A 25859-nucleotide genomic window follows, 5' to 3' on the forward strand; every position below is an offset into this window, starting at 1 on the left:
ATAGTTTGCATCCCTAGTCATTAAAAAACTGCAAATGAAATGCACAATGAGACACAATTACACACCCACTAGAATGGCTAAAATTTAAAAGACTAATCATAGCAATTGTTGGCAAGAATGTGGAGCAACCGGATGCTCATAAACTGCTGTTAGGAATATAAAATTTCTTTGGAAAACAATTTGACAGTTTCTCAAACAGTTAAACATATACCTACCATATGACCCAGCCATCCCACTCTGGGTAATTCTCCAAGAGAAATGTAAGGAAATACTCACACAAAGACTTGCACATGAGTGAATGTTCATAGCCCTGTTTGTAGCAGTCAAATCTGCAAACAACCCACGTAGCCTATCTATCACTCAGCAATAAAGGCTATTGGTCTTTGCTACAACACGAGTAGGGCTTTAAAAGCCATGTAAACAAAAAGTACATAACAGTCCATTCATCTAAAATTCTAGAAAATGTGGACCAATCTGGATATAGGAGGATAGACTGGAGATGAGTAATTTCCTGAGGACAGAAGTGGGGACAGGGTGGGTTACAGAGGGGCATGAGGGAACTAGTGAAGCTGAAGGGAAGATTAGCTTGATTGTGGTGATGGTTTTTTGTATGTAAAATTCATCAGATTGTACACTTTATGTACAATTTATTGTATATTAGTTCTACCTAAGTAAAGCTGGAAAATGCTAGGAGCTGTCCTTGTCTTCTAGAGCCGTACATTCAGATGGATCTAATCAGACCTAGTCTTGCTGACCTGATTTAGAGGAGTTCAGGTCTTTAGAATTGTTTTAACCTCTTGGGGGTCGGGGATCTCCAATCTAGCATGCCCTGAGGTGTCTCTGCTGCTCCTGGGACCATTCTGAGCTACAAAATAATAAGTAGAGACGCATAAGCTCATGCTCTGGCATTTTGGGAGGAGAAAAGCCTCAGAGAACTGTAGGGGGAATGAGTTCAGAGCTATCTCAGCAAAACAACTGAGACCTACTGAATCGATCTACTTGCTAAATACTGTACTGGGTTAAATACCGCAGGCATTTAATCTTCACGATAACCTTGTGATTCATATCCTCCTTTTATAAAAAGGAAACTGAGTCAGAGAAGATAAGTCACTTGCTCTTGAAATCTCATTCAGGTGTTCAGGGTTTACGGGATTGCTTCTTTGAGGCTCGTGATGGTTTCCGATAGCACTTGAGCTATTTATTTTTATGTTACAATGAGGTTCATATGTTACAGATTTTTCAAGCAGTGTTGGCCGTGGTATAGGCAATGGCTAGCTTATCATGGGTGTCTTGGACAAAAGAAATTGTCATATCATTTCATCCCCCAGTAACAGAAACCACTCCATGACTATGAGCTCACTGCTGTTTACTCATAATTTCTTTTAAAGTTGATATATAGCAAAATCCACTCTTTTTAGTGTACAGTTCTATTAATTTTGACAAATGCATTGAGTTGTATAAATAACCACCAGTCAAGATATAAAATAGTTTCCTCACCCCCTTCCCTAAATTTCCATTGTTCGCCTTTCAGTCAGACATTCCTCCCATCCCAAACCCCTATCAATCACAGATCTATTCTCCATTCCTCTAATTTTATATTTTCTAGGATGTCAGATGAATGGAGTTATACAGGATGCAGTCTTTGAGTCTGGCTTCTTTGCCTTAGATGAATGCATTTGAAATTGATCAGTGCGGGTGCCTTTGGTGGCCATTTGTTCTTTTTTGTTGCTGGGTGTACTCTTTTGTGTGGATGTAACACAACCTGCCTAGCCACTCCCTCATTAGGGCACAGAAGGATTGTTCCTGGGTTTTGATGATTATGAATATGGCTCCTATAAACATTAGCATACAGGATTTTGTGCAAATGTAGATTTTCATTTCACTTGGAGAAAATATTTAGGAGGTGTTCTTCTGGATCCCTCATGCTCTGTTCATTATTTGTTTTCCAGCTTTTTTCTCTGTGTTTGATTTCTGTTAGTCTATCTTCAAGTTTTTCCCCTTATCTCCGTTCTGCAATTGAGCTCATCCAATGATTTTTTTAAATTTAAAGTATTTCATTTTTTAGTTTAGAATTGTCCATTGTTTGCATCGTTTCTATTTCCCTCTGAGATCTTCTTTTTTTTTTTTTTTTTTTTTTGTTCATTTGAAGATTGCTCACTTTTACCTCATGGAGATGATTTAAAAAAAAAAAAACTGCTCTAACATCTTGGATGATTCCAACATCTGGGCATCTGTGGCTTGTCTTTTTCCCTGAGAATTTTTCAGATCTTCCTGGTTCTTTGGATGTTGAATAATTTTGAATTGTTTCCTGAGCATTTGAATGTTGTGTTGGGAGACTTTAAAATCCTCTGAAGAGTATTGATTTCTTTGTCTTAGTAGACCTTCGGCCTGTTTCAGTGCAGACCACAGTTCTATCTCACCTGCTGTGGGTGTTGGTGCAAACGTCAGTACAGTCTGCAAAGACTTCTGTGATATTAGGGTTGCCACAGGCTCCCCTCAGTGTGGGTTTGGGATCTGGGTGGTAGTTAGTGCCGTATTTGGTTTTTCAAACTCCTGCTATGCATCTGGGTGTCTGGTCCATGCACCTGAAGCTTGGTGGAGCCTGGGACATCTTTTGGATACACAGAGTTTGGAGATACTCCTCTGCAGCTCTCTGCTATCTGGGGATTTTCTATATGCTTGAGCTCCCAGAGGACCATTTTCCCAGATCTTACTGCCAAAAAGTTAGGTTCCTTTCAGAGATTTTCCCCTTGGCCCAGTTTTGGTTGTCTCAGGCTGTCCTCAGGTCAATGTGGAGAGAGAAAAGAGAAAGGAAAAAAAAGAGAGAGAGAAAATTTCCCCTAAGCTCCTTTGAACTACGGAGGCTATTTTTCCTTTTTCCTCTGTCCAGAGACATGGCTTTTCTCAGATTCAGATGACTGCTCCTGCACAGCTCCTGGAGTGGTACAACTCCGAGCACAACCCTCTCAGGGTGGGACCTGAAAAGGAGAGGAAGCAAGACAAAAACCTCAACTGCCACCACCTCAAGCCCACACCTTGATGCAGGAATGCCAAGAAGGTTTGCATAGGTGCTAATTTTTTGCAATGAATCTTAGAATTTGAGTACAAAGGATCTTGTCAAGGATCTTGTACTCCTGCTGGATTTTAAAAGCAGGGAGATAGAGTATTTTCTAAGTGTGAACACAAATTAAAATGGCACAATGAAGATATATGAACAGCACCTGCGAAGTGCACTGGTTGGGACTTTAACTTTTGTAAAGAAAGAGTTTTATAAAATGCTTTTGAGGAAGAATTTGTGAGATATTATTTTCCTGCAATTCAAATGCCCCGTGTCCCATCTCCATTGTCAGAAACAAAAGATTTTTTTGTTGTTGTCCACATTGACGGACTCAGATGAGAATGAAAGTCATGCAGATGGAAATCTTGAACCTGCTGCTGTTCAACAGGGCTGTTGGGAGAAGCCCCTGGAGCCCCAGACTCTTTCTTCATCTCTGAAGTGTGTGTAGCATCGAGCGGGCTTCACTGCAGAAAGGAGAAGAAGGAAGAGCTGGAAATGGAGTCCTGAGGGACAAGGGGACGCTGAGAGCCACTCTTTCAACCAGGAAGAAAAGCCACAGTGCCAGAAGAAAAGGTCAAAAATAAAATATTTAAATTTTCTTACTGGTACTTTTCAGATCCAAGACTCTCTGTGAATAGTCAAATGGAGAGTTGACTCACAAATGATGTGTTGAAATGTATTTGGATGCTTCACAGTGCAGAATTATAAGCCTCAATTAACCAGATAGTTTCCTCAGTTCTCCTCTGCCCCCACCCCTTTTTTTTTTTTTTTTTGGAGAAAGATTGTTTACAAAGCTCAATCTGTGTTCATATGGCAGTCATCATCTTAAACAATATTAAGCAATATTTATTAAGTCAGTAAAAATAAATTTGACACTTGCCTTCTCTGTAGAGGTTTGGAACCAAAACTTGTTGCACAAGATGTGGTTAAGTGAGAGAAACACACACAGTTGTGTAGTAAACACCAAATTAATAGTATGCATAGATTATATATTTAAATTGTTCTCAGGTCAAGGGTAAGTTCAGAAGATTTTTAGAGTATGTTAAATTGCAGGAGTTTTATGTTTAGGTAAGGTAAGGTTAAAATAATTGGTGTCTTCTAAAAAGCCTGGGGGGTGGACAGCCAGAGGAAATAGGCTTTAATGAACTGGTGCACTGGGGAAATTTGGATTTGCAGTGGGTGAGCCTTCAAATGCAGGGGCCCTCACTATGTTTGCTTTGAGAGCAGCACAGAGGCTGTGTGGCATGGGCTCTCTGGGAGTTCCTCACTATTTCTGGGGTGGTGGCTCTTTTATAGAAATTGATGTGAACTACCTTTTCTAAACACACACACACAATCGTATTTCTGGTTTGGAGGGTTCATCAGTAGGCTGTGAGTTGAGAAGGCAGGTGCTCTATTGATTTCACACATTGTATCTTCTTAAACAATATTCAGTGCATGAAGTGATGAATTCAGTAAGCAAATAGGCATCAAATGCCTCCTATGTGTCGGGGACAGCTCTTGGTGCTGGGGACATAACACTGAGCCAAACATAGAAGCATTCTTGTTGTCATGAAGCCTGGGGGAAGACAGACAATCAACACAATGAATGAGTCAAAGCTATGATATATGAGGTGGTGGTGAACACCGGGAGGAATGTCAAGCAGGGAAGGTGGGTAGAAAGTTTGCACGGAAACTGTAATTTTAGGTGGCATAGCCAGAGAAAGTCCCACTGAGAAGTTGGCATTCAAGGAAAGACCTGAAGGAAGTGAGGACATAGATTGCACCTCTCCATGGGTCATCCATCCACCACAACAGCTGGGTCAGTTTTATGTCACTTATTCATTTATTTTCTGTTAATTAATATTTGGAGGTTTGGTGAGATCAATATTTGTCAGAGAGATGGGCTGAATGTCAATTTAGAGGGGAAGGAAGCTTTATAACCCTACTGGTCTACTCAGAAGGAAGAAAAAAATTATATATAAGAATGACTATCACAATAAATAATCCGAAATTAAAATTTTGGGTTGTATGTAATTTCTAATCCAGGTTGTTCATGTCCCCTCTTCAAAGTCTCTTCTATACGCAGGGCTTGTTTCCTAATATAAGACAGTGTCCTAACATGTAAACCAGGAATACTTTCCTACTTCAAGTAGGAAAAAAACCTAAATAGAGTGACTTAAATAAATAGGAGCTTTTCCCACAAAACAAGCAACCCAGAGGTAACTTGCTGCTGGCATTTGTTCAGCAGTTTAGCAGTGTCAGAGACAATAATGATTTAATTTTTCTGGCCTTTTCCTCATGGTTACAAGATGGCTGTTGCATACTCAGCCATCATGTCCACATTCCATCAGATGGGCTAAAATTGAGTGAGGGGAAGAGCAAAGGACTGAATCAACAAAGCAAAACCTTCCTCAGGGATACAGAGAAGACACGGCTTATGTCTCATCAGCCAGAACTTTTTAACAGGGCCAATCCCAGCTGGAATGTGGCTTTGGAGGAAGGAGGTTATAAATGGAGGCTGGGCATGACAGGCAGCCTCTCTGAGATGGCCTCCATTATCCTACATCCTGGTATTTATGCCTACATCTTTCCTTTTCATGTGCACTTGACCTAGTGACTCACTTCTGTGCATGCACTATGGCAAGTGATGACATGTCACTTTAGACATTAGGTTTCAAAGAGACTGTGTCATATCTTCTGTCTTGGGCATGCCCTCTCCTGCTCCCCCTTGATTGCTTGGCTTGGGGTGACCAGCTGCCACACTGTGTGGCAGTCCTAAGAAGAGGCCCATGTAAGTGAGCTTAGGAATAGATCTTCTGAAGTCTGTTCACAACCGTGTGTGTGAGCCTGGGAGAGGATCCTTCAGCCACAGTTGAGATTTCAGACGAGTGTATCCCTGGCCAACAGCTTGAGTGCAACCTCATGACAGAACTTGAGCTGGACACACCCAAGTAAACTGCATCCAATTCCTGGTCCACAGGAACTGTGAGATAATAAGTTTTTGTTTTAAGTTGCTAATTTTGGGCTAATCTGTTACACAGCAATAGATAAGTGATACATTGGGTCAATGAATTAACCATGTCTTTTACATCTATATGTGATAATATTCAACAACAAAAAACTGCTTGATGAGAAACTTATTAAAGGTTTCTCGCAAGTTTAAGTAAATTAAGTGTTCTAATTCTCCATGCTCTCAAAGTTATTTATCTCTTCAAGGAATACTAGATTAATGAGCATCATATAAATTTTTATGGAAATTTTGTTGTTACCTAATAGGGACACTCGTGTAAATGTTTCATGGGTGTATTCTCTATGTCTAATACCAACCAACTCTCCATGTCCAGATTATGATTTATTTATTTGCAAGTCTCTGAGTTATCAGGAATATTTCTCATGGGCAGAAATTACCCTGGCCATATCTCAGTCTTGTGATCTTTGTAATACTAAATAAAACATTTCTTTTCAGTACAAGCTAATCATCTAACATCCTACTAACATTTGTTTTGGCCTCAGAATTTTGTGTATCTCAACGTTTTTCAAAGTTCTCTGTGATGTGGGCCAATCTTAAATATCCAAAAATTGGTTTATTTTTCTCCAATATACTTAGAGCAGGCTAATTTTCTCCTTTTTTCTAAATATGCTCTCTCATTGTTGCCTAATTAGGCCTTTGACTATTTTATATCACCATGTAAATTTTCCTTGCATACCACTCCTTCTCCCCAACAAATCTCATCCACATCTTTCAAACTCACCTCCAAGGCTCCAGTGATCGTATCAGTCCATGCTGGTCTGTTCTCTAACACCCATTTGGCCCTCCGCCACCTGATTGCCTAGAGTAGGCATACTAGGAAAATATTTCTGGAATTAAGTTTGAAAAATTTTAAGGTGTTTTGAAACATTCTCTTTTTTTAATAATATCAGCCTTTCTACTTCATAATAGGGAGTGAGGGTGAGAAGTATTAGTAATTACTATGTACCAGGCATTCCTTATACCTTATAAAATACAACAAGCTATGACATAGGCATTACTATCTCCACTTTGCAGATAAAGACAGTGAGGCATAGAAAAGCTCAAGTCCTAGGCCGGGCGCGGTGGTGCATGCCTGTAATCCCAGCACTTTGGGAGGCCAAGGCGGGTGGATCACCTGAGGTCAGGAGTTCGCGACCAGTCTGGCTAACATGGTGAAACCCCATCACTACTAAATACCAAAAAATTAGCGGTTCATGGTGGCGCATGCCTGTAATCTGAGCTACTTTGCAGATTGAGGTAGGAGAATTGCTTGTACCTGGGAGGCAGAGGTTGCAGTGAGCCGAGATTGTGCCATTGCACTCCAGCCTGGGCAACAAGAGTAAAACTCTTTCTCAGAAAAAAAAAAAAAAAAAAAAAAGCCAAAATAGTTAGTCCTTAATATCACAGTGATTGAGCAAGGATTGGACCTCAGGTGGTCTGAATCCCAAGCACTTTCTCTTCCCTTGAAACCACACATTCGTTTTTAGATTTGAGAATTATGTTAATATATTCCTCAAAGTAAACCAAAATCGGAAATTAATTATCTCTTTTTCCTTTAATTCTTAAGCAAATCCTTTGCACTTAGGATCAAAAGTAGTTGCATTGATTCTCCTGTTGAACATCTACCTTTGTTATCTTAAAAACCTGAATTATTGGCTTCAGAGTCCCTTGTAAGGTATTCCTTGAAACTTTCTCTGACATACCTAATTTCTAGTTTGAATTTGGCATTTTGGACCTTGTGGGTTTTATTGTTTATACTTGGGTGGTTTATTTTTCATTTAAAAACCCATCTGACTTTTTCTTAATTGAAATCTTTTTGCTTAATTGAAATTAACATTTCTTTGGTATGTTTTGGAAAACCTAGTGATATTAAATATACATTTTAAACAATTTTATTAATGCTCAGAAAAGTATATGCAAAAACTGTACAAGGATCAGGTCCGAGCTGTGTCAATCTGAAGTTGGTTGACAACTTTTGCTGAGCTTTCTTACTGCACAGCAAGTCACTGAATTGTACATGAGATGACCAGTTTTGTTCAGATATGTGTCCTTGTGTTGACGCATATTTCTAATCCAGTCATATAAATGCTCCTAAATGTGCCCCATTCAGTGAGATGGGAGAAAGTTCAAAGAATACCATATTTTCAGGAAGGTCAGTTAGTATTATAGGAGTTGATAGAAGAGAAGGAATATAGGGAAAATTTCAACTCTCCATAATTGGAGTAAGTGAATATTAAGAAAATTGATTATTGATTAACCAAAACACCCAATAGCATTAGTGTCCTGAATTTTCACCCTAGGATGCTTTGCAAACGGAGGCTTAGAAAAGTAAAAGGGAGAGAAGGATCTGGCAAAGTTCTAATCTCCCCAAGTGGACACTGTGAAGCATAAAGCACTGTGCATTAGGAAAGTTTTATTGCTATTTTTATTTATACAAGAATGTAGTTTTCTGAAATTAATTAAAAATTATCCCACAGAAGGAATGGAGTTTGAGGTTGTGAAAATTGGTGATTCCTGAAGTCTTACTGTAATGTACTTTATCAAGATGAAGTCCAGGGCCCTGGTGAAGTGGGAGAGGCTGGGCAGCCTGGGTCCAATTCAGCTGCAACCTGAGTAGGCCATGACTGTGTGTGTGTGTCTCAGCCTCACTGCATCAGAATTTTCTCATCTGTACAAGGGGATAATCATAGTACTTATTAATCAGACTTCCAGGATCAAATCAGTCAATAAATGTAAGGCTTTAAAAGGAGTTCGTGGCACATAGTGAATATCTATCTGATAAATGTTAACTATTATTTATGACCATAATATCATTTAATCCTTCCTCAAACATTGTTATGTAGGTATTTTACACAGAATTTATAGAAGAAGAACTCAAAATGCAGAAACACAAAATAACTTCTCCAGGGCCATACACAAGCTATTAATTGATAGTTTGGAGATTTGAGCAGAGATTTATCTGATGCCAAAGCTCATATGTTTATTTAAATAAAGTTTGTAAAAACAGTGATTTGACACTTACAAATACAATCTCAATTTTCTAAATAAAAAATTATTTTTATTTGACTAAGTGATGGATTAAGGAGTGAGTTTTCCTAAATATCTCAAAAGAAATGATTAAGTCAAGGATTCACCCAAAGACTGCTGAAATGGAAACTGAAATTATTATGAATTAGCACAGTGCTTGGTCTCATAAAATTCAGGTGTGCGAGTCAGTGGCAGAGAAGTTCTCTGAGTGTGTGTGCTGAGAAATGAGGTGAGAATGACAAAACTATATCTATAAAGTGACAGCGATACATTACAGGTGCTAATTAAAACAAAATGGTCTCTGTCTTGTTTCCAGGAACCCCCATCTCCTCATTCTTATTTTTAGTAGGCTTTGTTTTTAGGATGACATGAGTCAGTTTGGTGGATAATACACTTAAGGCAGAGTCACAATCTCATAGTTCTTGATTACCTGAAGTTGTTGGTTGGATATATTAAATTAAAAAGTTGCTTCAGTTTGGAGTGGACAGTATGGTTTAAGAGCATAATTGGAAGTAGGAGTTCTCAGCAAACACCAGGTCAGCATGGAGTTATTGTAAATCTGAGTAGGAAACAAATGGGGCGATATAATTTGGGCTGCTTGCTTTCTGTCTCTAAATTTCGTTTTCATAAAGTGATCCAGAAGAGATTTTGTATAGTGTGAATCTAAGCTTGATGGAAAATCAATCAGGTACTGAAATATTCAGTCATTTAGGATAAACTGTAGTGACAAAGAAATGATAGACACTTGGGATTAGAAGAGATCTCAAATGTTCTATGGTCCAACTCCACCTATGGTTATACCTAGTTTTTTTGTTTTTTTTTCCAATCTCATCTTGACCATCTGTAGTGATATAAAACTTATTATTGCACATGTAAAAGTTACAGTCTCAGATGGCCTAATGGCTAGAAAAATGTGTTCTTAGATAGAGCAAAATCCTTTTTCAGTAACTTCCATCCATTTCTCTGATTTCAACCCTCTGAAGCCACATTTAATTTCTAATATCATTTTCATATAATATGTTCTTGGAAACTTTTCTTCAGGTTGACGATCCTTATCCGCTTAAAGCCTTCTCCTTTTGAGACCCTTAAAAGAAATGGTCAGTAGACACTTGCCAGCTTGTTGACATTTCTTTTAAAGACTATTTTTCAGAACTGAGGACAGTTCTCCAGTGTGGTCTCCACTGATGAGGCCAGAGTGCTGCATGTTCTGATCCCTCCAGAACAGGCTGCTTACGGTTGTATAAGCCTTCCTGGCCACTTACTGAACTGTTGACTCTTGTTGAGGCCAATGGTAATCATAATCTCTTGAGTCTTTTTTTTTTTACAATTAGTTATGTCTCCACAGTACTGCATTTCTATCCCTCCCCTCCTCTCACCTCCCCTCCCGCTTTCTCTCCCATCCCCTCCCCTTCCCCTCTCCTCCCCTCTCCTCTCCTTTTCTCTCCTTTCTCTTTTTCTTTTTTGTTGAAGCTTGAAATGGACAGTGTTTATGCCTATTATAGTTTATTGAGCTAGATTTGACCCATCTTACCACACTGCTAAGATTATTCAGGACTTTGTCTCTGATATCCCCTTTGACATTCCTATCTGTAATTTGCTAGTTGGATCCGTGTGTGTCTTACATGAGAGCCAGTAATCACAGGCTGTTGACTCACATCTGGAACCCAACCCTGGATCCAGTGTGGTGAGGGGAGGCGTGATGGCTCTGGCAGGTAATGTTGGGAACTTGACAACTGAGCCCTGGTGTATGGGGGATAAAAAGCAGCCCAAAGCAGAAGAAGGACAGGGCCCATGGATGCAAGATAGGTTAGGAGGCACATTTTAAATATGTCTAGGTAGGCATTGCCCACCTGTCAACATTGCAAAGTAGAAAACCAGGAGCTGGAGGCACAATGGTAAGGGAGGGATGATGCCCTGGTGGGGAAGGGGCACCATCCTGCCCAGGTGGGTGCTGACTTCACACATGCACTCCTCCCAGCACCCAATACGAATCAGTGTTGGGATTTAGGCTGAAGCCTCAGAGGCTTTCCTTTCTGAGGAATTCCTTCTGCCTCAAAGTCATCAGAAGTGCACAAACAGCAGCCCAGATCGCCTTCCTCTAGGTACACGTGACCTTCAGAGGCACAGAAGGCCCTCAGGAAATACATGCTCACAGGGGATGATAGGGAAATATCTTAGAATTAAAACCCCTATAAGACACAAGTGACACATAGAACAAACAATGGTAATTAAGCAGAACTTAAGAAATCAGACAAAAAACAAGCATAAAAAGTAAGTATAAGAAATACTTTAAAAGAGATAAGAGAAGCTATGTGGAACACGGAGCAAGAATTTTTAAAAATCATAAATAAGAATCATTAAGAGCTATCTAATATGAAGACGTAATAGCTAAAACAAAGAACACGGCAGATGAACCAAAAAGAACAATTAATAAGTCTTAAGAATGAATTAATCAGCTGGAATATTTTGCCAAGGAATTCTTCTGGTAAGCATCAGGAAGGGATAAAGAGGGAAAATGTAAAGGACTTGTTAAAAAATATGATGTCTTGATATAGAAATGTTAAAATATAATAGAAGTCAAAGAAACTGAGAAAAATTGAAATTACAGCAACATTATTTCTACCATAAGATGATAGAGGACCTCAGATTATAAAGACTGCCATAGTGCCATATACTAATGAAAAACCCACATACACATACACTGTAATTAAATGTGGGAAAATGAAAGACAACAAAAAAATTCTAAAAACTTGGAGATAAAAATTCTTATACAAAGAAACAGGGATCAGACTGGTATCAGCCATTTTGTAAGAAACACAACAGAGTAGCATTTTCAAGTATTAAAAGAAACAAAACCCCTGAATGCATAATTACAATTTTATATTAACTAAACTATTTATTTATTTATTTAGAGACTGAGTCTTGCTCTGTTGCCCAGGCTGGAGTGCCGTGGTGTGATCTTGGCTCACTGCAACCTCTGCCTCACAGGTTCAAGTGATTCTCCTGCCTCAGCCTCCCAAGTAGCTGGGATTACAGGCACATGCCACCACGCCTGGCTAATTTTTTTGTATTTTTAGTAGAGATGGGGTTTCACAATGTTGGCCAGGCTGGTCTCGAACTCCTGACCTCAGGTGATCCACCCGCCTCGGCTTTCCAGAGTGTTGGGATTACAGGCGTGAGCCACCGCGCCTGGCCTAAACTGCCAATTTAAATGCGAGGATAAATAAGACAATCTTAGGCAAGCAAAGCATCAGAAATTTCACCAACTACCTTCTTTGAAAATCTCCATTGAGGTAATACTCCAAAAAAACTGTTAAGTCCAGGAGGGCACTGTTAACTTGGAAATGAAGTCAAGATTACTGTTGTCAAAATAATACTTAAAAAAAATATGCTCAATGCTCATAATAATTTTTTAGATGGTATCAGCAGAGCTGGGGGTGAGTGGAAAGACTGAATTGAGTGTATGGTGGGTTGTGTGGTGGAAATTATTGAAGAGCTGAGGAAAATTGGAGCTATTGATTATTAATAACTGTCCTGTGGAGGAACTGGATCAGGGAAAGGGGGCAGATTTTAGGCACTGAGAAGCCTAAGAAATTGATAGGGGAAAATGAACAAAGTACAACATACATGAAACAAAACCTAGAATGACCAGGGATTTAACTAAATAATCTAGAATGACTAGGGATTTAACTATCTGATGAAGATATTCAGATGGGATGAAAACCAAAATGTAATAGAAACAATTTCAATAAAATTAAAGGGGTATAAAATGATTTACTAGAGAAATATTAACTAAAAGAATGTTATATATTAGTAAAAAATGATAGTTTTCAAGAAAGTCTAATAAACATGAATATGTATACTTTTTAAGATTTCCTTCAAAAAGTAAACAATTGAAAAAACTATGGGAAGAAATAGATAAATCAATGATTAGGCTTTGATATATCGATCAGAAAAAATAAACGGGTTGAATATCTAGTAGATATAAATTACTTTACTTTGAACAAATAGAGAACATACTTTCTGTTTGAACACACATAGAACACAAAAATTGACCACATACTACATTACCAAGAAAGTAAACCTTAACAACTTTTAGATAACCAGGGTCATACATGGTATATACTTTGACCATACATGTAGTGAAATTAAAAAAAAATTGAAAACCCAAAGAAATCACATATGTTTGGAAACTGAAAGAAAAATCTGAATACTTGACGAAGAAATCATAAAAGAAATGTTAAAAGAAGACAACTGACACGTCTGAGACACAGCTCAAGCAGTTCTGGGAGGAAAATGTATAGCTTTAAATGTATTATTTTGCAGAACAAAAGAAAGAATAAAAACAAATTTGATGAGCTTGCAGGCATGTTTTCATTGAAGTCGTTGGTAATGCTGTTGAAGCGGACTGTGCATACGGCTGAGAGTCCTGTGACTTCAAAGACTTTCCTCTGTTAAATTGATCCATCACAATGGTGAAGAGGATATTCAGTCAGTCATGATTCTGTCTAAATACATTAAAACTCAAGCAATAATTTGTTATACCACCAGAAAGGTATCACGAATATTTTTGTCTATTGACCACTAAATACAGATGTGTATTTAATGGTGCATTTTTAAAAAATCTTCCAGGCAAGAAGAACGTTCATGATACGATTATTGTGAATCTTTCCTGACTCCTAATGATTGTCTCTTTACTTCAGAATTAAATTCTTCACACATTATTTGCTTACCAATTTGTTCAAAACATTTTCTTGGCTGAACACCAAACCTGCCAGCCTGTACAGTTTGTATTATGAACGTTCTTGTCCTTTCTGAACATTACAACATTTATTCATCTTCAGTCCTCCTTTTACTTATTAGTTCCATAATTATTTAAAAGTTCACTGAAAATCAATTGCATTAGACCCTAGGATGATGCCTTTGAATGATTAGTTATAATCAAGACAGAAATCTAGGAACCAAATTTTTTTTTTTTTTTTTTTTGCTGCTGTACTCTCAATGGTCAGGAAAGCCCATAGGCAAGATTGGGGAAGATGTTGAAAATGAAAATATTTAACATGTTTAAGCAGAAAAAAAGTCCATTTTTGTATAAGAAAATGTTCTTATTATGCACACATGATTATCTACCTCTACATCATCACTGTTCTTCCTGTCCCAATCAAGAGAGGTATTTTTCATTCAATTTTTGCAAGAAACATGGCATTGCCAAAATTTAGATATTTTAACTTGCAAAATGGCAATTTCAAATGGCTCAACTTTGTACCATGTGCAAGGCATTGGGTATATGGTAGGGAACAAAAGTGATAGAGGCTCCGTCTCTTAGGACCCCTCCCTCTCCTAGAGGGACAATGTCCTAAGCCTAGAGAAAAGTCACAGATATTAATGGAGATGGTACAACCTGTGACCTTATCTTGAAAACAACTATGATTTTTTTGCCATGTAGCTTGGACCACTGGTCACCAGTCCTGAGCAGTATTTTTCTGTTGGTATGTATTTGATAAGTAACTGGTTTTTTAAAGATGCCAACAGACCCACAGGATTGAAATCATTCCATTACACTAGTTTCCCATTGTTCCTCCATCAGCCTCACATCATTTATCCAGGGCACTTGCTGTGTACTGCAAACTCTGTGGCGCTAATGATGTAGAAAGAATTTAAACTTTCAGCAGTAAATGTCTGCTAGATAACAGCAGCTGGATGGTTGGAGACCATCTCTGGTGCCATGAGTATCCTCCCTTCTGCCAAACATTTTTATCTGTGGAGCACAACACAGAACTCACTTCACATCCCTGCAACTTTCCCTGGCCAAGTAGATTTGGTCTCAGTGCTCTTATCGCTCATGTGACAAATGTGTTTCTCACAAGAATGTGTGTTTATATATATATATATGTATAAAAATGAAAGGTTGGCAAGAAATTGATATGAACTTGTATAGATTGGATACCTCTGCTAGCGATAATATTTATTCATCCATCTTGACTCACTCCAGATTGCTGAGACTCTATGTGTGTAAAGACAGTTTCTATCTCAAATTATAAACAATCTCTTAGCACTTATTGTGGTGTGATGGAGCTAATAGTACCTCAATAAATGCTCATAGAAGATTATAACTTTCCAATGTCTGTTTTGTGGCAATCAACATATAACCAACTGAAGTAATTTTATCACATTGAAAATTAAGTGCTAAGAAAAAGGAAAGAATTGGGGTGTGTATTTTATGATATAATTTCATGTGGCAATGTAGATGTCAATGTAACTTTTTCCTTTTCTAAATGCCCAAGTCATTTCACAAGACCACAAAACTCTTCTTTCTTTTCAAGTGAAAATGATTTCTTTTCAAATAGACGAAAAAGAAATTCATTGCCTTCAGGTTATATGAGGTGAGAAAATCAGGGGAGACTATCCTGTTTTAAAGGATAAGAATTTGAGCAATGAAAATAGCTAGAGAGCCCAGATTCTCATTAGCACCATTTTTATCTGGTGTGTGATAGCAGGAGATAGAGTTGATTAAAATCGCTTTTCAGAGGATTGAAAAAGTACATTCTTGTCACTCTCCTCAGATCATTGGGGCATTCTGTTTATTTTCTGCCTCTTTCCACTGATACTTATTTCTAGTTTCCATGGATCCTTTTTCTCTTTTTCCCACAGTGTGGTAGTCACTATGTAAGGAATTCCTTAAGTCTGGCAAGTGCAGTAATTTTTCAAATTAGAATTATCATAAAAATTTTAATACCAATTTAAGGATATTCCTGTTCATACACTTTGAACATTACAATAGATACTCCCTTAATTATTAAACTTGTGACTTTGGATCCCTTTCCCTAATAAATGTTAGGTCAGTTGAATCAAAGGAGGAGAAGTCTACCTGGAGATTTTAGTGACTATTGGGGAAATTAAAACAAAACAAAACAAAAAAAGACCCATAACGATAGAAAAACATCCAGTGTCTTGCATTGGTATTTCAATGTAGTGTAAGATAAATTCCAGTTGCTAAAATCTAGTTTCACCACCAGGGCTGGTCAATACCTCCTGTGTCTATGAGGTTGGAGGAGGAGTTTGCCTCAGCGGGAAGGTTCGTAATGTTAGGTAACTACTCTAACATGGCAATACTTGAGTGATTATTTATTTTCTAAACACACATTTCTCTGGTCCTTGTTTATTTATGGCATGGGAATAAACATTTGAGACTTTGTATAGTTTTATCTATTAATAATAATTAATCCAGTATCTGAAAACATTTCTAACTAGTGTTTTCCATGAGGCCCTTTAAAAGAGAGAAATTCAATTGCCTTTTGAGATGTGAATGTTGAATTCATTTAGATCTCCTGCAGAAATAAATCCGTCATAGGCAAAGTTAACATCTCACTAGTGTTAGAAAAACCTGCTGAAGTTCGAAATGTTTCTCAAGGTAGTATGTTCATTTGGTATTATATTTAAGTAAGAAAGCTAATTTTATAGGGGTTGGGGCTTTTGAACTTTCCTATCTCAGACATTCCTTGGAACTGGAGAAACTCATATCTGAGATCAACATTTGGCAGCATTCAAAATACTTTCTTCATTACAATAATATAATTTCCCATGTAATTTGGCTTCTTGGAGTGGAGGCGGCACTAACTTCACCACTTTAAATGGAAGAATAAGATTTGGCACCCTGTCATATGACTTGTCATTTGAAGTCACCTGCTTTTAAGCAATCCCAGAGAGGCTGGGGTTTAGAGTCCCAAAGGATGGCATATGACTCTTCTCCATGCTCCTCAGGCTAAACTCATTGAAACAGAAGCTGCACTTGTTATTTTTGTGATGAGCACGACTTAGTATTGCAACCCCAGAGCTGGGCGAAACACTGGTGTTGTGCAGAATCAATCAAATCAAGGTATGGCCTTGCCAGACAGCAAATATATGAAAAGAATACAACTTTCTTCCAGCAGTGAAAGATTGGTTGAAGGAAATTCCCTGTAACCAAGAAGGGGCTAGAAACTAAAATCAAATGATTTGTTTATAAGTATATAGGAATAATCTACTTTTCTTCTTGTGAAGGAAGCTCGGTCTGTGCATCTGGGGTCCTGGTAAAATCATTTTGGGTGGCTCTCTGGCTTCTGGTCCCGAGTTTTGGAACTCACCTGTAGAAGGTACCCATGTTGCTTGCAAAGGTAAATCTCTTCCCCTGAAAGGTGAGTAGATGTCCTATTCTTGGAGGTTTTAATTAAAAAGAAAAAAGTAAATAAATCAACCTATGGAAATTCACACTTTTAAGCATAGGGACAATTTTTTATCATTGAGATAATCTGCATACTTTTGGTACTTAAAGTATATGTAATATTGGCCGGGCACGGTGGCTCACACCTGTAATCCCAGCACTTTGGGAGGCTGAGTTGAGCGGATCACCTGAGGTCAGGAGTTCATGACCAGCCTAGCCAACATGGTGAAACCCCATCTCTATTAAAAACACAAAAATTAGCCAGGCATTGTGGCAAGTGCCTGTAATCCCAGCTACTTCGGAGGCTGAAGCAGAAGAATCGCTTGAACCTGGAAGGTGGAGGTTGCAGTGAGCTGAGACTGTGCTCCAGACTGGGAGACAGAGTGAGACTCCGTCTCAGAAAAAAAAAAAAAAAAAAAAAAAAAAAAAGTATATGTAATATTTATGTAAGATAATTCAATCAATTATCTTATGTTTAAAATTTTAAAAAGATGATTCAGCAATTGATTTTAGACTTCAGATATAGAAATGTGTAGAAGAATTTCACGATGTTTTAAAGTCATGGTTGTAATTAGCATATAACATTTATAATTAGAACTTCAAATTTATGGAAAATTGGGTTTTTGCATATGCAATTTAATAATTTGAATTAGTTAAAAACATCTGGTGACTTCGGTTTATGGTCTCTGTGCACAAAAAGCCCCCCTTTAACATCAAAATACTCATAGTAACACTTTTTGCAGATGCAGAAACTGAAATCCTGTCTATCTAGAAAATGCTGCATGCTCCCTTCCTTCTCCTGGTCCTGGCCTGTCACCTCCTGGCCCTGGCCTATCACCTTCTCTGGAAGCCATCCCTGACACACCTGTACCAGGTAGAGCCACCTCTTCCCCTAGGTCATCATCCATCTTTAGCTTGCTTCTATGGATTTGCTTTCTGTCCTATGTAACAATCCTTCACATTACCCAGAATTTTCTTAAGGATTTACTCCTATTTCAATCCCTATTACCTACCAAAATTTATATTTTGTTCTTGGCATTGTTCTAGGCTTGCTAAGGTGTTAAGGAGACTCCCTAAAATGTTATACTACATTGTTGTAGGCCTCAAGGAACTTTACATTTTAATGACAACTAGTACATATAGTGTGATAAATGACGCAGTACTACATGGCTCCCGGATGTTCTGATTTAGTAGTTGAGGTTGGGCCTCAGGAATCAGGATGTTCAGGAAATCTCCAGAGAAATCCAGTGTGCAGCCAGGTTTGGGGACTGCTGGATTACAGGAAGGAGATTAGAATCTGCAAAGCCAGTTTGAAGGCACGAGGGTTTTTAAATGAATATTCAAAAGTCTGGCTCAGGATACACTCATGGGTAGAGCAAGAAACTGATGGCGGCCTTGCATGCAGATCCTTCCACTCTATACCCAGACATCATGTAGGTGCCTCTCCTGGTGGTTGCAGGCCCTTATGGGGATCAGGGCACAGGTAAAGTCTTAATTCCTGGGAATCTTGGTAGAGAATGATTGCAGGGTTTTTCCCAGTGGGGTGGTCAAATGTATGGAAAAGAGCAACAGGGAGCCTGGGGTGAGGCCAGAAAACAGCAGAACCTGAGCAGAGTTAGGCTCATAGAAATAGGAGGATCTTTGTGCCAACCCCAGCTCCATGAGCTTGTGGCACGTCCCCTTGGCCTCCAAGAGACCAACAAAGAGCTAAACAGGTAGTGGTCTTTCACCATCCTGAGGCTGACAAGGACCTCAACAGGGACTGGCAGGCTTTCTGCTTCCACACACAATTCTAAAAGGGGAGACACCACTTTCCCTTCCATCACATGCAAGGGTGCTGTGCTATCCCCTGGACTCTATAGAACCACATTCCTGTCCAAATACAAGTCCCTTTTAATATCCAGAGAAGGAAGAGTGGTCAGAAGAAACACAACATAAACCTAAACAGAAAGAACAAAAGGCAGAAACAAAATACTACATTTTAAAAAGTACTTAACTTTCTAAAGTTGAAAATATGATGTATTAGTACATTTTACGTTGCTATAAAGAAATACATGAGACTGGGTCATTTATACAGAAAAGAGATTTATTTGGTTCATGGTTCTGTAGGCTGTACAGGAAGCATGCCACCAGTATCTGCTTCTGGGAGGCCTCAGGAAGCTTCTAATCATGGTGGAAAGCAGAAGGGCAGCAGGCATGTCACATGGAAAGAGCCAGGAGCAAGAGGGAGGGGAGAAGGTGCTAGGCCCCTTGAAACAACCAGCTCTCCTGTGAGCTAGTAGAGTGAGAACTCATTCATTACTGAAAGGACAGCACCAAGCCATTCATGTGGGATCTGATCCTATGACCCTAATACCGCCCACCAGGCCCACTTCCAACAGTGGGGTTCAAATTTTAACATGAGATTCACAAGGGACAAAACTGCCAAGCTATGTCACATGATTTTCCAAACAAATAATTGACTGATGAATTAAAGATGAGATAGTTATAGTTGAGACTAAAGTTTGAGAACTAGAAGTTCAAGTGGACAAAATATTTCAAACAGAACATAATTATAAAGAGATGGATATAATGAGGAAAAAATCATTTTGGTGGGGAAAACCCATCTTTAATAGTGAAACAATACATCTAGGTGGGGAAATACTTGGTCAGTTGCTTTTAAAAGATAGTAGGAAATGTATATCTAATTATGAGAGGTAACTATTAATGAAATGGAAAAGTATGGTAGAATTTGTAAATTAATAAGAGGAAAAAATAGAATTATTAGAGAATGGATCAAAGTAACAAAACTAAGAAGCAATTTGAAATATTTAGCAATCATAAGGTAAGATAAAAAATATATAATCAAGGCATCTTAGCCATTATGGTATATGCAAGTGGGCTGAATGCTTTCATTAAAGATGATTGTTATTTTTGCATTATAACACAAAACCCAGTTATATGCTATATGATAACACTTAAAACAAATAAATACAGAAAGCTAGAACATAAGGTTGTGAAGATAATTAAACACAAGGCAATATTAAACAAAATAAAACTAACAAAACACTTATTTAAAAACCCTAAAAAGTAGAAAGTGGGAAAGGCAATATACTAATATCACAATATCATTAATATGATAATATATTAAAATACTCTTGCATTTAAGGTTAAGCAGGGGTATTATGTGATGATAAAAAGAAATTATAACATTCCTAAATTTCTACGCATAAAAATATATCAGAAAAATATACAAGGCAATAACTATGCAAAATGCAGTATGTAATAGGAACATGTTTGTAGCAGGAAACTTTAATATACTGTTTTGGAAAATGGACAGATCTAGCAGGCAAAATAAATTAGTCTTGCAGTAATGAATACACAATCAACAAACAATAACCATAAACGTAAGCTTGCGTTTTTCAAAGGAGGCCATACATACTTGGTATGACTTTCACACAAAAAAAGTGCTCATTAAATTACCTACGAAGAAAAAATAAATAGAGATTTTTTAGGCCACAAAGACTACTGAGTGGTCACAAAAATCATTTTCCTACTTGAATACTAAGAAACACACTTGGATAAAATTTTTGGATCAAAGACAAAATTAAGAGGGAAATCACAACCTATCTAGAAAGCAATAAGGAGAAAACTTCACACTAAGTGTGATGGGGTAGAGCTGAACTCAGAGGGACATTTTTTATTTTAAATTACTTTGTCACTAAAGAATAAATACTAAAAATAAAGGAACTAAGGAAAAATGAAGACAGAAATCTATCATAAGGAATTAGAAACGGAAAAACAAAAACTGAAGAAACTGGGAAGAGAGAATTAATAAAGGCCACAGCCAATCTTAATGAAATAAAAAAATGCAACAAGTAAAAATTTCAGAAAGGATACTTTAATCCAACATTTAGTTTTTTAATAGATCAGAAAAATAAAACTTTAAATGTTCCTGGTTCATGAAAAAGGAGAAATAAAAAGCAAAAATGGACACACTTACACACTTTGAGATACTATTTATTATAGTCGGTTTTTAAAAAGAAATTATTAAGAGTGAAGGAAAATGGAGTATACCTCCTGACCTGACAGTGTCAGTAGACACTGACAAAGGGAGATTATTTAAAATAAGGGGGTCAGGAATTTTGCTACTGATGAACATATCTCTCAAAGCCTTTTCTAGCTTTTAATATCTTGGGATGATTAATTGACTAATGCTAAACTTTAAAGTATGTTTAAATTTGAAAAATGGAGGAGTCAATCAATGTGTTTATAATAGTGACACTCAGTATAATAGTTATTGGTGCGCTACACACTTAAGTCTCTTGAATGTAGCCTTGGAAATCTGTAATGCAAGATTATTAATGTTACCCACAATCCACATTTAGTTTCTTTTAGTGTCTGTTTATATTTGAAAATATTACACATTTGGGAGAGAAGACTGATATCCGTCAAGATAGCTATATAAAGCAGAAACCTGCAAAATATTTAGCAATATGGAATTTCTCTAATTTTGAACAGTAGTAATAACAACATTAACTTGGAACTGGATGAACATATGCATTATGTCACAGATTAAAGCAGCAGTGGTTGCTGTTAATATTTATAATCTTTATTCTATATGTGATACTTCTTCATCTAAAATAAAACTTGACCTTTGAAGAGGTTCATATGAAAAATAAGAATGACTTTTTGTAACTGTAAGATGGAATTTAAGAAAGGAGCTTAAAAGTTGTGATTCAGTTTTGTTCCAGGCCTTTATACTTTTTACTTTATACTTTTGTACTTTATATCTCTTTTGTGACACTTCATAAAGTTGCCCTTTAAAAGGAAACAAAACAAACACCAATGTGAAAACACTATATTGTACATGATAAATACGTTCAATTTTATCTTGTGACCAAAAATACAGAAATAAACTTGAAAAACAATGCAAAAAATGAAAAGAAACAGAGATGTAAACAGTAGTAGTTCACCCACATAGCATTTTAGTGTCTCTCATTTCATTTGATTTTCCAAAATACTTTAAAAGCATAGAGGGTATAAATTTCCTTATTGTATACGTGAAGGATCTAAGATTCAAGGACAATGACTTGATGAGATAGCATGTCCAGTGAATGGGCATTGAAGACTCCTAGACCAGCAGTTTCATTCTACTACGCTATTGTGCCTATTCAAGGGAATAAAGTGAAGGCTGATTTCGTTTCATTTCATTCATTAGTCTATTAATTTATTAGCATTTTATGCTCTTTTTTAGCATTTTATGTACAAGTAAATCTTAGCCGTCTTAGGAGCAGGTAGAACCACGTTAAGAGTGATGATTAGAGATGGGGGCAGAGAGAGAGATGGAGAAAAGAGAGAGGAGAGAGAGAGAGGTCCGTGTGTGTGTGTGTGTGTGTGTGTGTGTGTGTGTGTGTGTGTGTGTGTGTTTAGGGGTCTTTTTAAATAGCATACCTCAGAGAAATCCAACCCAAGCAAAGTGAAATTTGAAAGTAAGGACATGGGATATGTTTCCATAGTTTTCTGGGCTGTAGCCTCATTTTCCACAGAATGACGTGGAGCCCTTCTCATCTGAGTCATTCGAAACTGTCCTAGACAAAACACTTGCAGTCCCAGCTTAGGGAATAATCTTGCATTGGCAAGAGCCTGGACTAACAAACTTATTTTCTCTGATTTTTACTTTGACATTACAGTGAATACAATATCTTTAGTTTAAACACACATACACACACACCTCTTGGGCGTTACATTATTTTTCTACATGGGTAGGAAGTTGGTATGTCGCACTGTGGACTAGATTTAATTGACGAGATCAATTAAATAGTTGTTGCTGACTTCTCTGTTCCCCAGAGCCCTCTCTAACTTGTGCTTTCTGCTCATGTGTTTTGAGGATGAGAGATACAGCTTTTTCCCGGCGTTTTTGAGGAAGGGCAATGTCATTTTAGGAAGAAGAAACCTCTATTGTAGATATTACCTGTTCTTTTTGTTTGTACACACACACACACACACACACACACACACACACACACACACACACTCTGTCTCCTGTTGGTTCTTGGTTTTGTTTCTATGAAGAACCCTAACTAATACATCATATAATGCAAATAATAGAATATGTGACCTTTTGTGCCTGACTTCTTTAACTTAACATCATTTTTCTTAGATTCATCCAAGTATAACAGTACTTTGTTTCTTTTTATGGTTGAATAATATTCCATGACATGTACATGCCACAATTTCTTTATCCATTCATCCAGTGACGAACATTTGAGTTGTTTTAAACTTTCAAATATTATGAATAATACTACTGTAAGTATTTTGTGTATAATTTTTTGTATGGACATACATTTTCACTTTCTCTTGAATACCTAGGAGTAGAATTGCCGGATCATAGATCGTATGTTGATTCTATCTGTAATTGTTTGAGGAATCATCAAACTTTTTTCCACAGTAGTTGCACAATTTTATATTCCCAGTAGCAATGTGTGAGAGTTCCTGTTTCTCCATATCCTTGCCAAACTTATTTTTCATTTTCTTGGTTTAAGATATCCTAGTCGGCGTGAAAAGGTATCTCTCATTGTGGTTTCGATTTGCATTTCTTTAGTGACCAAGGATATTCAGCACCTTTGCTCTGGTTTAGAACCTGCAGTATAATTATGCATAGCAGAAGTGAAAGCAGCAATCCTTTTCTTGTTCTGATTTTGAGGGCAAAATTTTAGGCTTTCATAATTGAGTATGATGTTAGTTGTGGTTTTCTCATAAAAGACCTTTATTTTGTTGCAAAAGTTCTCTGCTAGTCCCAGTTTTCAGAGTGTTTTTGGTATGAAAGGATGTTGAATGCTGTTAGTGGATTTTCTGCATGTATTGAATTCTATTAATGAGGTAAATTACATTAATTTTCTTATGTTGAACTGCCCTTGCTGTCCTGTGATAAATACCATTTGATCTTGGTGTGTAATCCTGTTAATATGCTGTTAAGGCTAGGCATGGTGGCTCACACCTATAATCACAGCATTTTGTGAAGCCGAGGCAGGAGGATCTCTAGAGGCTAGGAGTTTGAGACCAGCTTGGAAAATATAGTGAGATCCTGTCTCTAAAAAATTTTTTTTAAGTAGCCAGGCATGGTGGCATGCACCTGTAATCCCAGCCACTCAGATGCTGAGGCAGGAGGACTGCTTGAGCCCAGGAGTTCAAGTTCAAGGCAGCAGTGAACTGTCATTGCACCGCTGCTATTTAACCTGGGCAACAGAATTAGACCCTGTCTCAAAAAAAAGTGCTGTTAATATTAATTTGCTAGTATTTTGTTGAGCTGTGGTATGTGTGTGTATGTGTGTATGTGTATGTGTGTGTATGTCTGCATTCCTAAGAGATGTTTGTCTGTAGTTTGCTTGTAGTATCTTTGTCTGACTTTGGTACTAGAATAATCCTGGCTTTATAGATGTGTTAGGAAGTGTTCCCTCCTCTTCTAATTTTTGGAAAAATATTTGAGTATAATTGGTGTTAATTCTTCTTTACATGTTTAGTAGAATTCACCAGTAAAGGCATCTTGTCCTGGAATTGTCTTGTTGAGAGGTTTTGATTATGGATTTATCCTCTTGTAGGTCCTTTGAGATTTTCTACTTCTTCTTGAGTCAGCATTTTCAGTTTGTGTGTTCTAGGAATCTGTCCATGTCATCTAGATTGCATAATTGTTAGGGCATCTAATCTCTATAGTTTCTGTAAGGTTGACAGTAATGTCCTTACTTTCATTTTTGATTTTAGTTACTTGTGTTTTATCTGTTTTTTCTCACAGTCTAACTAATGATTTATCCATTATATTCTATCCTTTCAAAGAACAAACTTACGGTTTTGTTAATTTTACTGTTTTTATATCCTCTGCTTTTCTTATCTCTGCCCTAATCCTTATTATTTCCTTTTTCCTACCGGCTTTGGGTTTAGTTTGCTCTTCTTTATGTAGTTCCTTAAAGTTTAAAGTAAGGTTGTTGATTTGAGATCTTTCTTCTTTTCTAATGTAGACGTTTACAGCTATAAATTTCCCTCTGAGTACTGCTTTCATTGTTTCTTATAAGTTTTGGTATATTGAGTTTTTGTTTTCTTTTGTCTCAAAGTATTTTCTAATTTCCCTATTGATTTCCTTTATTGGGCTGTTTAAATGGGTGTTGTTTAATTTTTATGTATTTGCAAAATTTTCAGTTTTTCTTCTGTTACTGATTTCTAGCTTCACTCTATTGTGGTCGAAAAAGATATTTTGCATGATTTCAATCTTTTAAAATTTACTGAGAGCTGTTTTATGGCCTTACATATGTTCTATCTATGAAATGTTTCATGTGAAATTGAGAAAGTGTATATTCTTCTGTTTGGTGAAGCATTCTGTATATACGTTTAGTCTAATTGGTTGGTAGTATTGTCCAAGTCTTTTGTTTCTTTATTAATCTTCTGCCTAGACATTCTATTATTATGGAAAGTGATTTGGTAAGTCTCCAACTATTATTGTAGAAGTGCTTATTTCTCCCTTCAATTCTGTCAATATTTGCTTCATGTATCTTAGGTCTCTGTTTGTTACATCTGTGTTTATAATTGTTATAACTTCATAATGCACTAAC

At 37.3% G+C, this 25859-nt stretch overlaps 1 long non-coding RNA gene across 1 annotated transcript in view, besides 1 other annotated feature; it reads left to right on the forward strand.

Moving 5' to 3' along the window:
• LOC105370108 (uncharacterized) overlaps nucleotides 1-17407 on the forward strand; it is a 114586-nt gene extending 97179 nt beyond the window's left edge. Inside the window, exon 4 of the long non-coding RNA XR_001749777.2 lies at nucleotides 17118-17407. This is a non-coding gene — a long non-coding RNA (uncharacterized LOC105370108). The remainder of the gene's footprint in view (nucleotides 1-17117) is intronic.
• Nucleotides 23878-23967: an enhancer, noted in NCBI's record as "active region_7447". NCBI's record gives its function as "activates an Ori minimal core promoter by ATAC-STARR-seq in GM12878 lymphoblastoid cells {active_cell/tissue: GM12878}" and the evidence as "EXISTENCE:reporter gene assay evidence [ECO:0000049][PMID:35858748]".

Source organism: Homo sapiens, chromosome 13 (genome assembly GCF_000001405.40).
Source record: "Homo sapiens chromosome 13, GRCh38.p14 Primary Assembly".
In the NCBI taxonomy this organism is placed as follows: domain Eukaryota; kingdom Metazoa; phylum Chordata; class Mammalia; order Primates; family Hominidae; genus Homo; species Homo sapiens.